This window comes from Homo sapiens, chromosome 3, assembly GCF_000001405.40.
Source record: "Homo sapiens chromosome 3, GRCh38.p14 Primary Assembly".
NCBI classification, from domain to species: Eukaryota; Metazoa; Chordata; class Mammalia; order Primates; family Hominidae; genus Homo; species Homo sapiens.
In genome coordinates, this window is record NC_000003.12 from 66,133,019 (window position 1) to 66,145,878 (window position 12,860).

The 12,860-nt window shown below is 39.9% G+C and overlaps 1 protein-coding gene across 1 annotated transcript in view; it reads left to right on the top strand.

Moving 5' to 3' along the window:
• The window catches only part of SLC25A26 (solute carrier family 25 member 26), a 245,318-nt gene continuing 233,049 nt past the window's right edge, over positions 592-12,860 (top strand). The window contains exon 1 of the mRNA NM_173471.4: positions 592-966. The gene's annotated coding sequence lies outside the window, so the exon portion shown is untranslated. The remainder of the gene's footprint in view (positions 967-12,860) is intronic.

Consider the following 12,860-nt stretch of genomic DNA (forward strand, 5'->3'; position numbering starts at 1 on the left):
TTACATGGGTAAATTGCATGTCTCAGGACTTTGGTGTACAGTTTATTTTGTCACTCAGATAATGAGCATAGTACCCGATAGGTGGGTTTTTGATCCTCACTCTCTTCCTGCTGTCCATCCTGAAAACTTTTAAAGTAAATTTAGTGTAGCCTAAGTGTACAGTGTTTATAAAGTCTACAGTAGTGTACAGTCACATCCTAGGCCTTCACATTCACTCACCACTCACTCGCTGACTCACTCAGAATAACTTCTAGTTCTGCAAGCTTTGTTCATGGTAAGTACCCTATACAGGTGGACAGTTTTGAGCTTTCATGCCATATTTTTACTGTAGCTTTTCTGTTTTCATGTTTAGATCCATAAATATTTACCACTATGTTGCAGTTGCCTACAGTATTCAGGACGGTCACATGCTGTACAGGTTTGGTAGCTAGGAGCAATAGGCTACACCATATAGCTTGGGCGTGTAGTTGGCTATACTAGCTAGGTTTGTGTAACTTACACTCCATGTTGCTTGCACAAGGATGAAATCCCCTAATGATGCGTTTCTCAGAAGAGTATCCTGGTGGTTAAGCAACACATGACTGTATATGTAACCTGAAGCTCTCAGAGCTTCCCTGTCTTCATCTATCAGCCCAGGGAGAGGAATCAGTGGTTTTCCAAAAGCTGTACCTCTTTCCATAAATACAAGGATGAAGGGCTGAGATGATGGCAGTTAGAATTATATTGAGAAATGGTAGCGGGATCTGAGAAAGCAAGGCCATGAGTTGAAAGCAGAGAGAAGGCGGTTCGAGTGGAGCCCTGATGAAGTTCATGCTCATGGTTGCCCAGCCATTAACACGGGCTCATCACATCTGTTTCCAGATTGCTTCTAGAACTTAGCTACCCTCGTTCTATAAGATGGAATGAAAATGCGTACTACATACAGATCATGAAAAGACGCAAAGAAAATGCATCTTCACATTGCAGGTACTCAATTAGATTTATTTCTAATACTCAGCGCCACCCACAATTGGAAGGAAAGAAGGGCTAGAACATTAAAGTTTCTATTTGTGCTGAGACTGCAACTTAGCTATTTAGAAGTTATTTTAACAGACTTCCCTCCAGTGGAAAAACAAAACAGGGATAACTAGTTTGACTTGGTCTTTTTTATCTCTTTCCATTTAAACACAGATATCCTGTTGTGATAACCTTTGACACTTTATTACATGGCCGCAGTAAATAATAACTGCCCTTATTTTGTAATGTTAGCCCTGGTTACACAGCACCATTAATTACTGAACATAAAAGTTGAAGTTTTTGTGAATAGAAGGAAATGTTATTTGAATTCCTTTGCTGGGTTCACTAAGTTTATCTGAGGGCTTGGGTGGTATAAATGGCGAAGAGAGAATCATTGAGTTGTGTGTTTGTCACAGAGAAGTGCCCCCGCACCAAAAATAAGAACCAGCCAATCTGGGGCCAGTGGGAAAATGTTGACAGACTTGCAGAACTTCACTGGAAATCTGAGTTTGAGTCACGATGAAATTAAGAAATCAACTTCCAAACACCCTCAAGTTACCTTAATTGCTTAGAGAATGTATCTTTAGTTACCTTTCTCACTATAAAACAGTACTTTTTGTTATTGAAATAGCGTTTAAGGACTTGCAAAGGAATGACTTAAAAATCACTAAAAATCATGTCCATGTCTTTGGAAAAAGTCTTGGAAATGTTTTGCCATCAATTTCCATATTGATCAGGACACTGAGTTGGAGATTTTGTCACTTTTCTTCTTTGACAGTTGTCATCCTTTGTCAATATTTCTTTTCTTTCCTTTATTTTTTTTTTTATTTTTTGAGACGGAGTTTTGTTCTTGTCACCCAGGCTGTAGTGCAATGGCGTGATCTCGACTCACTGCAACTTCTGCCTCCCAGGTTCAAGCGATTCTCCTGCCTCAGCCTCCCGAGTAGCTGGGATTATAGGCACCTACCACAATGTCGGGCTAATTTTTGTATTTTTAGTACAGACGGGGTTTCACCATGTTGGTCAGGCTGGTCTCGAACTCCTGACCCCAGGTGATCCAGCCACTTTGGCCTCGCAAAGAGCTGGGATTACAGGAGTGAGCCACCATGCCCGGCCTGTCAATATTTCTTAAATAAGGAAAAGCCTGGTTTTATAAAGTTCAAATTTTACTGAAAATTGTTTTTAATTTTGTTTTTGTATTATCAACTTTTAATTAACTTACATTTGAATTTCAGAAATGTTTTTAACTTTGTTTCAGGGCGATTTTCAATTTACTCCTAATCTTTCTGAAACTTAGCTTTAGTAAAATATAAACATTGTAATACGTTACATGCTCAAATCCTACAGTTGTAGAATTTGAAGCGGCCTTAAAGTTCATGTATTCCATCTCTCCAATTAGTTAATCACAGTATTACAGAATCATTAATGTTGGCAATATTTTAATGTGAACAATTGTTAATTGTGAACAATTGGCTGGGTACAGTGGCTCATGCCTGTATTCTAAGCACTTTGGGAGGCCAAGGCAGGTAGATTGCTTGAGCTCACGAGTTTGAGACCAGACTGGGCAACAAAGTGAGACCTATTCTTTACCAAAAATAAAAAATTAGGTGGGCATGGTGGCATGTACTTGTAATCTCAGCTACTTGGGAGGCTAAAGTGGGAGGATCTCTCTTGAGCCTGGGAGGTTGAGGCTTCAGTGAGCCCTGATGGCACCACTGCACTCCAGCCTGGGTAACAGAGCAAAACCCTGTCTCAATAAAAAAATAAAGTAAAAAGGTAAGTTTTACAGATCCAGTCTTAACATAAGTATAAGGCAAAATTTAAGACTTTGGAATAAATAAAAGAGATATTCTTTTGGAATATTCACATTGGATATTCTTTCAATGAAATACCTGTCTTTAGAGACCACGTAATCCTACAGGGATATACATCTTGGTCTTTGGCTAAGCTATTTTACAAGTCTGTTGAGATAGAAGTTAACTTGAAAAGTGTTTTACTATAGATTTCTGTATTGATCACAACAATTCAGAAATTGATGATAAAACTAATAGTAATGCAAATATTTCTTGTTCATAATCATGCAAGGAAATTCTGTCCTGCGGACAGTCAACTGATTTTCCTCTCTTATTGTGGAAATAAACAGTTTTGTGTCTACTTGCAAATTTATTTCAGTGTTCCCATCTATATATGTATCTGCTGTTGGACTTCTCCTTTGAATGAATGATAACATTTCGGTGGTTCACTCATTAGTAATGAGTTAAATAAAATGTATTCCAGATGTTCATTTTATGTCTATATGATAGTCATGATTTTACCTTTTTGGGAAAATTATCCTTTAACCTAAGATACACAAATGGCCAGTTTATAATTAAAAACTACTTATCACTCTCCATTGGCCTATAGATGAAGACATTGAAGTTTGGAGAAAAACAGGGTGAGCATGTAATAAATAGCTTAGCTGGATTTGAATCCATGTCTATTTCATTTCTAAAATGGTATTCTAACTCATTGCACTGTCTCGTCACTAAGAAATAACATTTTTGTATTTTAAAAGATGGCTTTTAGTTTCATGTTCCAGTTGATGCTTATATTTCCAAAACAATCATGGTAGTGAAATTTGATTTATACATTCTTTCACCTAAGCTCTGGCTTTCAGCCGCTAGGTTTCTCTCTTCTGCTTTGACTGGGATATTTCTCTTGGCTTTGCATCAAGTAGTACTGTGTTTTCAAAGCCTCCATGTCATTTACAGTATGCATTAAATTGTATACAAAGCTTTTCCCTTTCAGGACTTGTTAAGACCTTCTGTTTATTTCAAGAAGAAAGCCTCAGTGAGGTGCTATGTCCCTCTCATACTTGCTAGTCTCCCTTTCATAACAAAGAGAGAGCTTAACAAAGAGAGTTGGAGCTTCCTCAACAATAGTATATAAATTTTTGTTTTTATTTTGCTTACTTTATGGTTATCTCTTATTTATTGAAAATAATTCTGATTTGCATTTATGATAATAGCACAAAGCTTCTTTTAAAATAAAGTTCAGTTAAAAATCAGTTGAGATAAAGGAAATCATTAATTAAATAGCTTGACTAATAGATGTGAGCTCTTTCCTGCCACCTTTTCCACCATGTGAGGATGCCATGAGAAATCACCATCTATGGAACAGACCTTCACCAAACACCAAATCTACCTATGCTGTGATTTTCTTTCTTTTTTTTTTTTTTTTTTTTGAGATGGAGTTTTGCTCTTGTCGCCCGAGCTGGAGTGCAATGGCGCGATCTCAAACTCTGCTCACTGCAACCTCTGCCTCCCAGGTTCAAGCAATTCTTCTGCCTCAGCCTCCCGAGTAGCTGGGATTACAGGGGCCTGCCACCAGGCCTGGGTAATTTCTTGTATTTTTAGTAGAGACAGGGTTTCACCATGTTGGCCAAGATGGTCTCAAACTCCTGACCACAGGGGATCCACCATCCTTGGCCTCCCAAAGTGCTGGGATTACAGGCATGAACAACCACACCCAGCCCCACACTATGATCTTGAACATCCCAACCTGCAGAACTGTGAGAAAAAAAATTCTATAGTTTATGAATTACCTAGTTGGTGGTATTTTGTGAGACCAGCAGGAATGGCCTAAGACACTCATAGAGTCATTGTGAGAAGGGAATAAGATGCTCTGTGTGACTGTGAGCTTCCTGAGGTCAGAGTGTGTCTAACTCATCTTGTTATCCCCCAACTCCTAATACAGTTCCTAGCACCTAGGACTCCATAAGAGCTTGTTTTCTTCTTTCCTTTGCAAAGCTAGTTAGTATAGTCACATGAACATTTTCTTTTTTCTTTTTTTTGTTTTTTGAGACAGTGTCGCTCTGTCACCCAGGCTGGAGTGCAGTAGCCCAATCTTGGCTCTCTGCCACCTCTGCCTCCCAGGTTCAAGCGATTCTCCCACCTCAGCCTCCAGAGCAGCTGGGATTACAGGCGTGCATTACCACACCCAGCTAATTTTTGTATTTTTAGTAGAGACGGGGTTTCACTATGTTGGCCAGGTTGGTCTCGAACTCCTGACCTCAAGTGATCCACCCGCCTCAGCCTCCCAAAGTGCTGGGATTACAGGCATGAGCCACCATGATCGGCCCACATGAACATTTTCTATGGCATTATTAAACAGAGAGTATTGCATGTGAACACGTAAAATAAACATGGGCATTTATAATGTTTTATTTTTCCTATGGTGATCAAAGCTGTTCAATGTATACATCGTATACAATGTATACATCTGAAGTATGGAAATATGCAATGAAGGAAGAAAAAAATCATCCCACAAATCTCACCCCCCTTCAGACACATCACACTCCAGGGCAACCATTCTTAATTTGATAAATTTCTCTTTTTTTCTATAATTAAAAATATTATACACTTGAGATCCTAGTACACATGCAATTTTGCAACCTGTTATTTTCTCCTAAGGTTAGATTTTGCTTGGCACTCAAAATCCATCCAGCATGATTTTTATTGTTTGACCTACATTGGGGCCTTTCTTTCCCATCTGTCATGGGGTTGGCCAACAGAATGTCAACCTGTGAATTCTCTGGTAAAATGTTTCCAAATGACAAATCAGACAATTTGGTGGGAGGATTGATGCAGGGGGAGGGGGGGTAGGGATGTATTGGGGTAGGGGAAGAGGGAGATGAAGGGAAGCAGTTAAGGAAGGAGGCATGGGAGAGAGCCAGAGGTTCCTCTTCACAAACCGTATTGGGAGGTCCTGGATACGGGCATCGGTTCCTTGGCAAAGCTTGGAAGCCACCCATTAATCTTGTACTCCCTCTGCTGGCTTTGCTGAGCACAGCCACTGTGTGATTAATGTGAATAGTAATGGTCCTGAGTCCACTGAAATCCCCCGTGATGAACAGGAAAGACAAACAGTCATTCTTTTTGAGATTCTTTTTTATAAGATCCAAGTTCACACTAACAGGAGTAGATTGATTGATTACTTATTCAGTTGAAACGAATTCAAATTGCTGCCCCACCCCTCCTGTCCTCCTCCCCTCCCCATCCTCTTTTCCTCTGCCCCAGGAGAATGAAATTCTAAAGTTCTCAGCTTTTCCTTTCAAGATTCTTATGATTCTCCTGATGATCTCACTTCTCTTTACTGTATTTTGCTGTTGCTTTTCTCTGTTTCACCTTCTGTGCCACCCCGCCCACCTCCTTGATAGTGCCATTTGTGAATAAAAAAGGAATGGTGAAACCCTGCCTTTGCTTTGCAAAGCAGGGTTGCATTAGCTTCTCTAATTCTGCAGCCTCTTATTTCTCCATTTTTGCTTAATTCAAAGTTGTTAAAAGCTTTTCAAAATAGGTGTATGCTCTACTTGACAGTTGTGAGAAAACAATGCCTCCAATAAAAAGAAAGCAAGATACATTTGCAATTTCCTTTTCCATAATTTATAGTGATTTAGCTCCCCCCTATCAGGAGATAAAAATTTCTTTGGGAACAAGTTTCTTTTAATAGCATCATCTGAAGCAGCACACATTTCTTTCGCGGTCATTAGAGCTCCTAGCCTACAAAACAGTGACTGAAGATTGAATTAGATTTAGAGGGAGGCTGCCTGTATCACATAAATAAACAGGGCCCTGGCCATTTCATTACAGAACTTAGATAAGCAGTACAGATGGTCGGCTGCAGTGTTACACATGCATAACCTATTTAAAAGATGACATTATAGGGTCAGAAGCATTAATGTACTCACAGTGTCATTTGTTTACTCTACTTGAGTTACTTCTTTCACACTAAGCGCTAAAGCCGTGGGTCAGGCAAATTATTGCAGGCAGTAATGCAGACTAGATGAAAAGATAAGGGAATTATTGAATGATGAGAGCATAAACACTAAATTAGTTTAAGGATTTATGGCCCCAAGCTTAACCTAATAGATGTTATTTGCTATTGATCCTTCTCAAGGTGTTGTAGGTGACAAAAAACCCAAAAACCTCATTCGTTTAAGCACATCAAGAAAGGTAATTAACTTACTAACTTACTGGCTCATGGAACTGAGAGATCAGAGCTTCAGGTATGGCTGGTTCTAGTGCTCAGAATGGCTGTCAGGTCTGTTCTCTTTCATGGTGGCTTCATTTGCAGGATGCTCTCATTACTGGTGTTCAGATGCTCCATGCCTATGTATTAACACTTGCAAGTACAATGGAAAGAGGTTCTTTGTTATTCTAGCAAAAGATCAGGAATTACATCTCTTGACCAATTTTGGATATGCGCCTTTTCTGAACCAATGATTAGAGGTGGAAGAATGGAATGTGTATTCCGTTGAGTCATGTGCTCATCCTGTGAGCCCTGAGTTTAGGGCAGGGGTTGGTGGAGTTTGTGGATAGCATCACCAAGACAGCTAGACTAGGAGAGGGTGGCTCCTCAAAGAAAAAATCCACATGCTACTAACACAGGAAGGTGGTGTGGAAGCCAGGTAGGCAAAATGGGATTTCTAATCCTTCAACCAGTGCACTTCAGAAAGGATCATTCACTAGAACCTTCGAATGAATTCAACTAACATACAGGATGCACGCTGAGGTAAAAACTAGAAAATGTCCGTAAATCTGTTCATTCACCTGAGGTTTCTGTTCCAAGTTAAATCTATTAGCAGGCAGGACTAGCAAATATTCTTCATAAGTAAAACTACCTTATCGGCACCTGTCTTTTTAATGCTACCACTCTATGTTTACACTTTCAAATTTCCCAGTTTCTCAGATGACAGAAGGAATTCTTACTGTATCACATCCCTCCATCTGTTGAATTAAACAAAATGCATGCCAGCCCTTTTAACAACTGCAGTACTAAAAGGGTCAAGTGAATGTCAAAGGCATGATTGAACTAACAGGTTCCGGACTGCCAAGTCCCTTGCAAGACTTTAGAAATGTTTCTTGCTTTTAACTTCTGCTCTGGGTCACTTACTTGTGGTTACTGTGGTGGTGCCACCAGCTCTCTGAAATTTCTTACTAGTCAACAGACTACAGTACTGAAAGGAGCTATTGTTACACTTCAGTATAGAAACAGGACACACACACACACACACACACGCAAATGAGCACGTGTAAAACAGTGAAATCCAAATGAGGTAGACAGATTGTATTTATGTCAATTTCTTTGTTGCCATAGTATTCTATAGTGTTGCAAGTTGTTAGCATTGGGGGAAACAGGGTGAAGGGCACACGAGATCTCTCTGTATAATTCTTTATAATTACATGTACATCTTCAATAATTACCAAATATTTTTTTCTAATTTTCTCGAGCTGGGGTCTTGCTGCATATGTGGTCTGGCCTCGAGGGCTCAAGAAATATGTCTGCCTCAGCCTCCCAAGTAACTGCGACTACAGCCATGTACCACCACACTCAACTCCTACCAAAGAAAGTTTTCAAATAATTGCATAAGACAAAAAACTAATAGAAATAGGATTGTCATGAGGATGATAATGATGTCCTGTGTCATCTTGATGAAAGCAAATCTTTGAAATAGTGTGAATTTTTTTTTTTTTTTGAGACAGAGTCTTATTCTGTCACCCAGGCTACAGTGCAGTGGCATGATCTTGGCTCCCTGCAGCCTCCACTTCCTGGGTTCAAGTGATTCTCCTACGTCAGCCACCCGAGTAGCTGGGATTACAGGCATATGCCACCACACCCAGCTGATTTTTGTATTTTTTATTAGAGACAGGGTTTCACCATGTTGGCCAGGCTGGTTTCGAACTCCCGACCTCAACTTGATCTGCCTACCTTGGCCTCCCAAAGTACTGGATTACAGGCGTGGGCCACTGCGCCGGTCTTGAATGTATTCTTTTCTTCCTGCAGACTCAAAGCTGTGGATGGAAGTTGTTGAAGCCCTAGGCTGGATTAAGAATACTTTAGATTTAGTCATGGCAGAGAGTTCTGAAACAAGTTCTATCAATATGTAGTTCAACAAATATTTATTTATTTTCACTTTCCTTTATTTAAATTGAGATGAAACTTGCATAACACAAATTAACCATTTCAAAGTGAACAAGTCAGTGGCATTTGGTGCATTTACAATATTGTGCAGCCACTGTCTTCAATTCTGAAACATTTTCATCACTCCAAAATTAAACCCCATACCTATTTGGCAGTTACTCCCCAACCCCACTCCAGCCTCTGGGTGACTCCCAATCTGCTTTCTGCTTCTCTAGATTTACCTATTCTGCACACTTCATGTAAATAAAATCATGGAAGATATGATCTTTTGTGTCTGGCTTCTTTCACTTAGTGTAATGTTTTTGAGGTTCATCCAGGCCATCGCATGTATCAGTATCAGTACTTCATTCTGATGGTGTTCAGGACCCACTACCCTAAAATATGGCACCTTGGCATTTGAGAACACTGCAGAAGCAGGAAGTTCTCTCTGACCTTCCTCCCACCCTTCACCTTTGAAGTAGACTATAAAAGAATTTTTTTTTATCTTCTCCTGAAGTAGGGCATAAGGCCCTCATTCCAGAGATGGCCACACTATACTCAGAGAAAAATGCCCTGTCTCTAAGGACACAGGAACTCGGAGAAGAACCTGAACAAACAGGCCTTGCTAAATTCTCCCTAGTTGATTACTATCAGTTTACACCCCTTTTGTCCAATGGTACTGCTGCCTGACTATCCATTTGTCATCAAACCTAAGCACAAAAATGCATAGGTTTCCCTGTTTTTTTGGTTTTTCATTTAAAAAGTCTCCCATATCACATAAAATTTGTATGCTATTCTCTTGTTAAGCTGTTTTTTCTCTTTTTTTGAGACAGGGTCTGCCTCTGTCACCCAGGCTGGAGTACAGTGGTGTGATCTTAGCTTGCTGTAACCCCAAATTCCTGGGCTCAAGCAGTCCTCCCACCTCAGCCTCCTGAGTAGCTGGGATTACAGGCAGCACCACTATGCCTGGCCAATCTTTCTTTTTATTTTTTGTAGAGATGGGATCTCACTATGTTGACCAGGCCAGTCATGAACTCCTGGCCTCAGGCGATCTTCCTGCCTCAGCCTCCCAAAGTGCTGAGATTAAGATGTGAGCCACTGTGCCCAGCCTAAGCTGTCTTTTATTGCAAGCGCCTCAGCTATGAACCTAGCAATGGGTTAGAAAATAAATCTCTCCTCTCCTACAATTTTCTTTCATGGCTGAATAATAAAAAAAAAAAAATTGCCATTATCCATTATATCCATTGTATGAACATAACACAATTTGTCTATCTATTCATTTGTTGATGGACATTTAAGTTGTTTCTACCTTTTGGCTATCGTGAATAGTGCTGGTATAACATTTGTGTACAGGTATGGTTTTCACCACCTGTTTCCAATTATTTTGGGTATATACCTATGAGCAAAATTGCTGGGTCATGTGACAATTCTGTTGAACTTAACAAATACTTACTGAGCAACTGCAGTGTTCCCTGTAGTGCTCTACGTGCTGGCAACACAATTATTGAGCCAAAAGTTCAGATCCCTCCTTTTCTGGAACTTAATTTCTAATATCAAAGAGAAAGGCAATAAACAATAAGCAGGAATGGTACCTAATTTGTGATGCAAAATGCAAATGAGGTCCCTCGTTTAAAAAAAAAATTATTGGCTGGGAACAGTGGTTCACGCCTGTAATCCCAGGACTTTGGGAGGCCAAGGTGGGTAGATTGCTTGAGACCAGGAGTTCGAGACCAGTCTGGACAACATAGCAAAACTTCATGTCTACAAAAAATACAAAAATTAGCTGGGGGTGGTGGTACACACCTGTAGTCCCAGCTATTCAGGCTGAGATAGGAGGGTTGCTTGAGCTTGGGAGGCAGAGGCTGCAGTGAGCTGAGATCGTGCCAGTGCACTCCAGCCTGGGCAACAGAGTAAGACCCTGTCTCAAAAACAAAATTAATAACTTTAAGATGAGAACAGCAAAGCCTTAAACCAAGTGGGGAGTCCTTCTAAGTAGGCACAGTGTCCTGAGAGACTGCACACTTTGTTGGCCTGTGAAGCTAACACTGACAATAAGAAAATACAGTAATTTCAGATGTTAATCACACATGAATACACAAAGTGGGGTAATATGATAGAGAACAAATATAAGTGGGTGAGCTACTTTCAATAGTTAGGAAAGGCCTCTATGAGAAGCTCATATTCAAGCTGAGACCTGAATGATAACAAGGAACCAACTGTATCAAGATCTCTGGGCAGCGTATCCAAGCAGAGGGAAGAGACTGAGCCAAGACTGCAAGCCTGCAAGTTCAGGAACCAAAACAATGTCACTGTGGCTGGAACTGGGTTATCTTTAGCCTGAGTGTAAGTACAGTTTCTAACACCACAATCCTGGAGGAAGATTTGGGCCTCTTTTTTGGAATAAAGACAGTGAAAATCAGTCTTGGTAACATCAAACTCTAGACCCGTGGTTGTCAGTGAGCATGATATAGCACACTGGTGTTCCCCAAGCACTTCTCAGTTAGGGCCTAGATTTTGCCCACTGGGTACAATTTATTTTGCATCAACTGAGAACACAGAGTATCTGTCAGAATGCTGAGCTGAGGATTAGCTGGTTGTGGTGTGTGTGGAGTACAATTTGGTACTAACGAGTGGTAAGAAGCATACCATAATGCCAAAGATTGTCTACTGGGATGTATGCAGAATGTGAGGTTTCTGAGAGCCAAGTCCTGGAAGTAAAGGAGGTTGCACCGAGGCTGAGAAAATAGAGTGATCATTGTGCACACGTTCATGGACCCCACCAGATGTTAGACTGACTGGAGTAGACAGTGCATTGCAATCATTGCTAACTCATTGAGTGTCTTTTTATTTCTTTAAGCATGACTTCAAAACTCTAATAATCATAAAGTTCTGAGAAAATGTGGAGATCATGACTCTAGACAACATTTACAAGAACTGCATAGGTGAAAGAGTCAGATGTCTGGCTGACCTAGCAGTTCTCTTTGCAACTGAGGAAGGCCACGCCAAAGAAGTAAGGTTTACATCCAGGCTGAGACTTTTTCAGAGCCACGAGGGAGTGGTGGGTGAGTCAGAGAAATGATGCATGCCAGAAGAAATCCCTTAAGAATTACTGTAAAATCAATGGATTGGAAAACTGAATTAATGGGGCTGGGGACTGTTTATTAACAATGAAAAAAAAATCTATATTTCCCCTGTCTTCTCTGAGCAATATTAGAAGCTATGAGAGAGGAGCAATGAATATCATGTGAAAGGAGAAAGTGAAGACACCAGATCACATAAATGATTACATGGAGTCTGAACGGCTCATAAGGTTTGCATGAGTGAATGTTCCCAGTCGTTCTGGTGGATAAACACTTTGTTATCCTAGATCACTCTGAATAACTTGGGCCAATAAAGGCAGTCATACTTATTTCAAAGGACACCATATCAGGTTCTAAAGTGGCCTTCAAATTTATTGCATTTGTGGAAGTACCAACTGGTGAGAATAGCATTTGTGATTGGTTTCAGCCATGCAAGGGAGTCTAGTTACAAGATAATTCTTGATAGGGGACAGGGTCCCAAATCCTTCTGCTTTGTTTAAAAAGCATTGCTGAATCAGCATTTGATTCAGAGTGTACAATATATAACTTTTGTTTTTTTTTAAATACTAATCAGTATTGGCAACTTTTTAAAGTTATAAAAAGTGAAGTGCCTAGGAAAAATTTTGTATTCTCATTTAAAGCTAAATAAACAGATGGAAATAGAAATTAGAAGGTGTTCCATCTTATTTCAATTTTCTTTTTTCCCCACTATTATGACAGTTAAAGAAAATCGCTGAAAACTAGTCAAATCCAAAAATATTCCTCACATTTATTTTTCCTCGCCTGAGTAAAATTTCAGAGTGTTTTGTTTACAAATGAAAACTTTAAAAGTAATTATTTTGT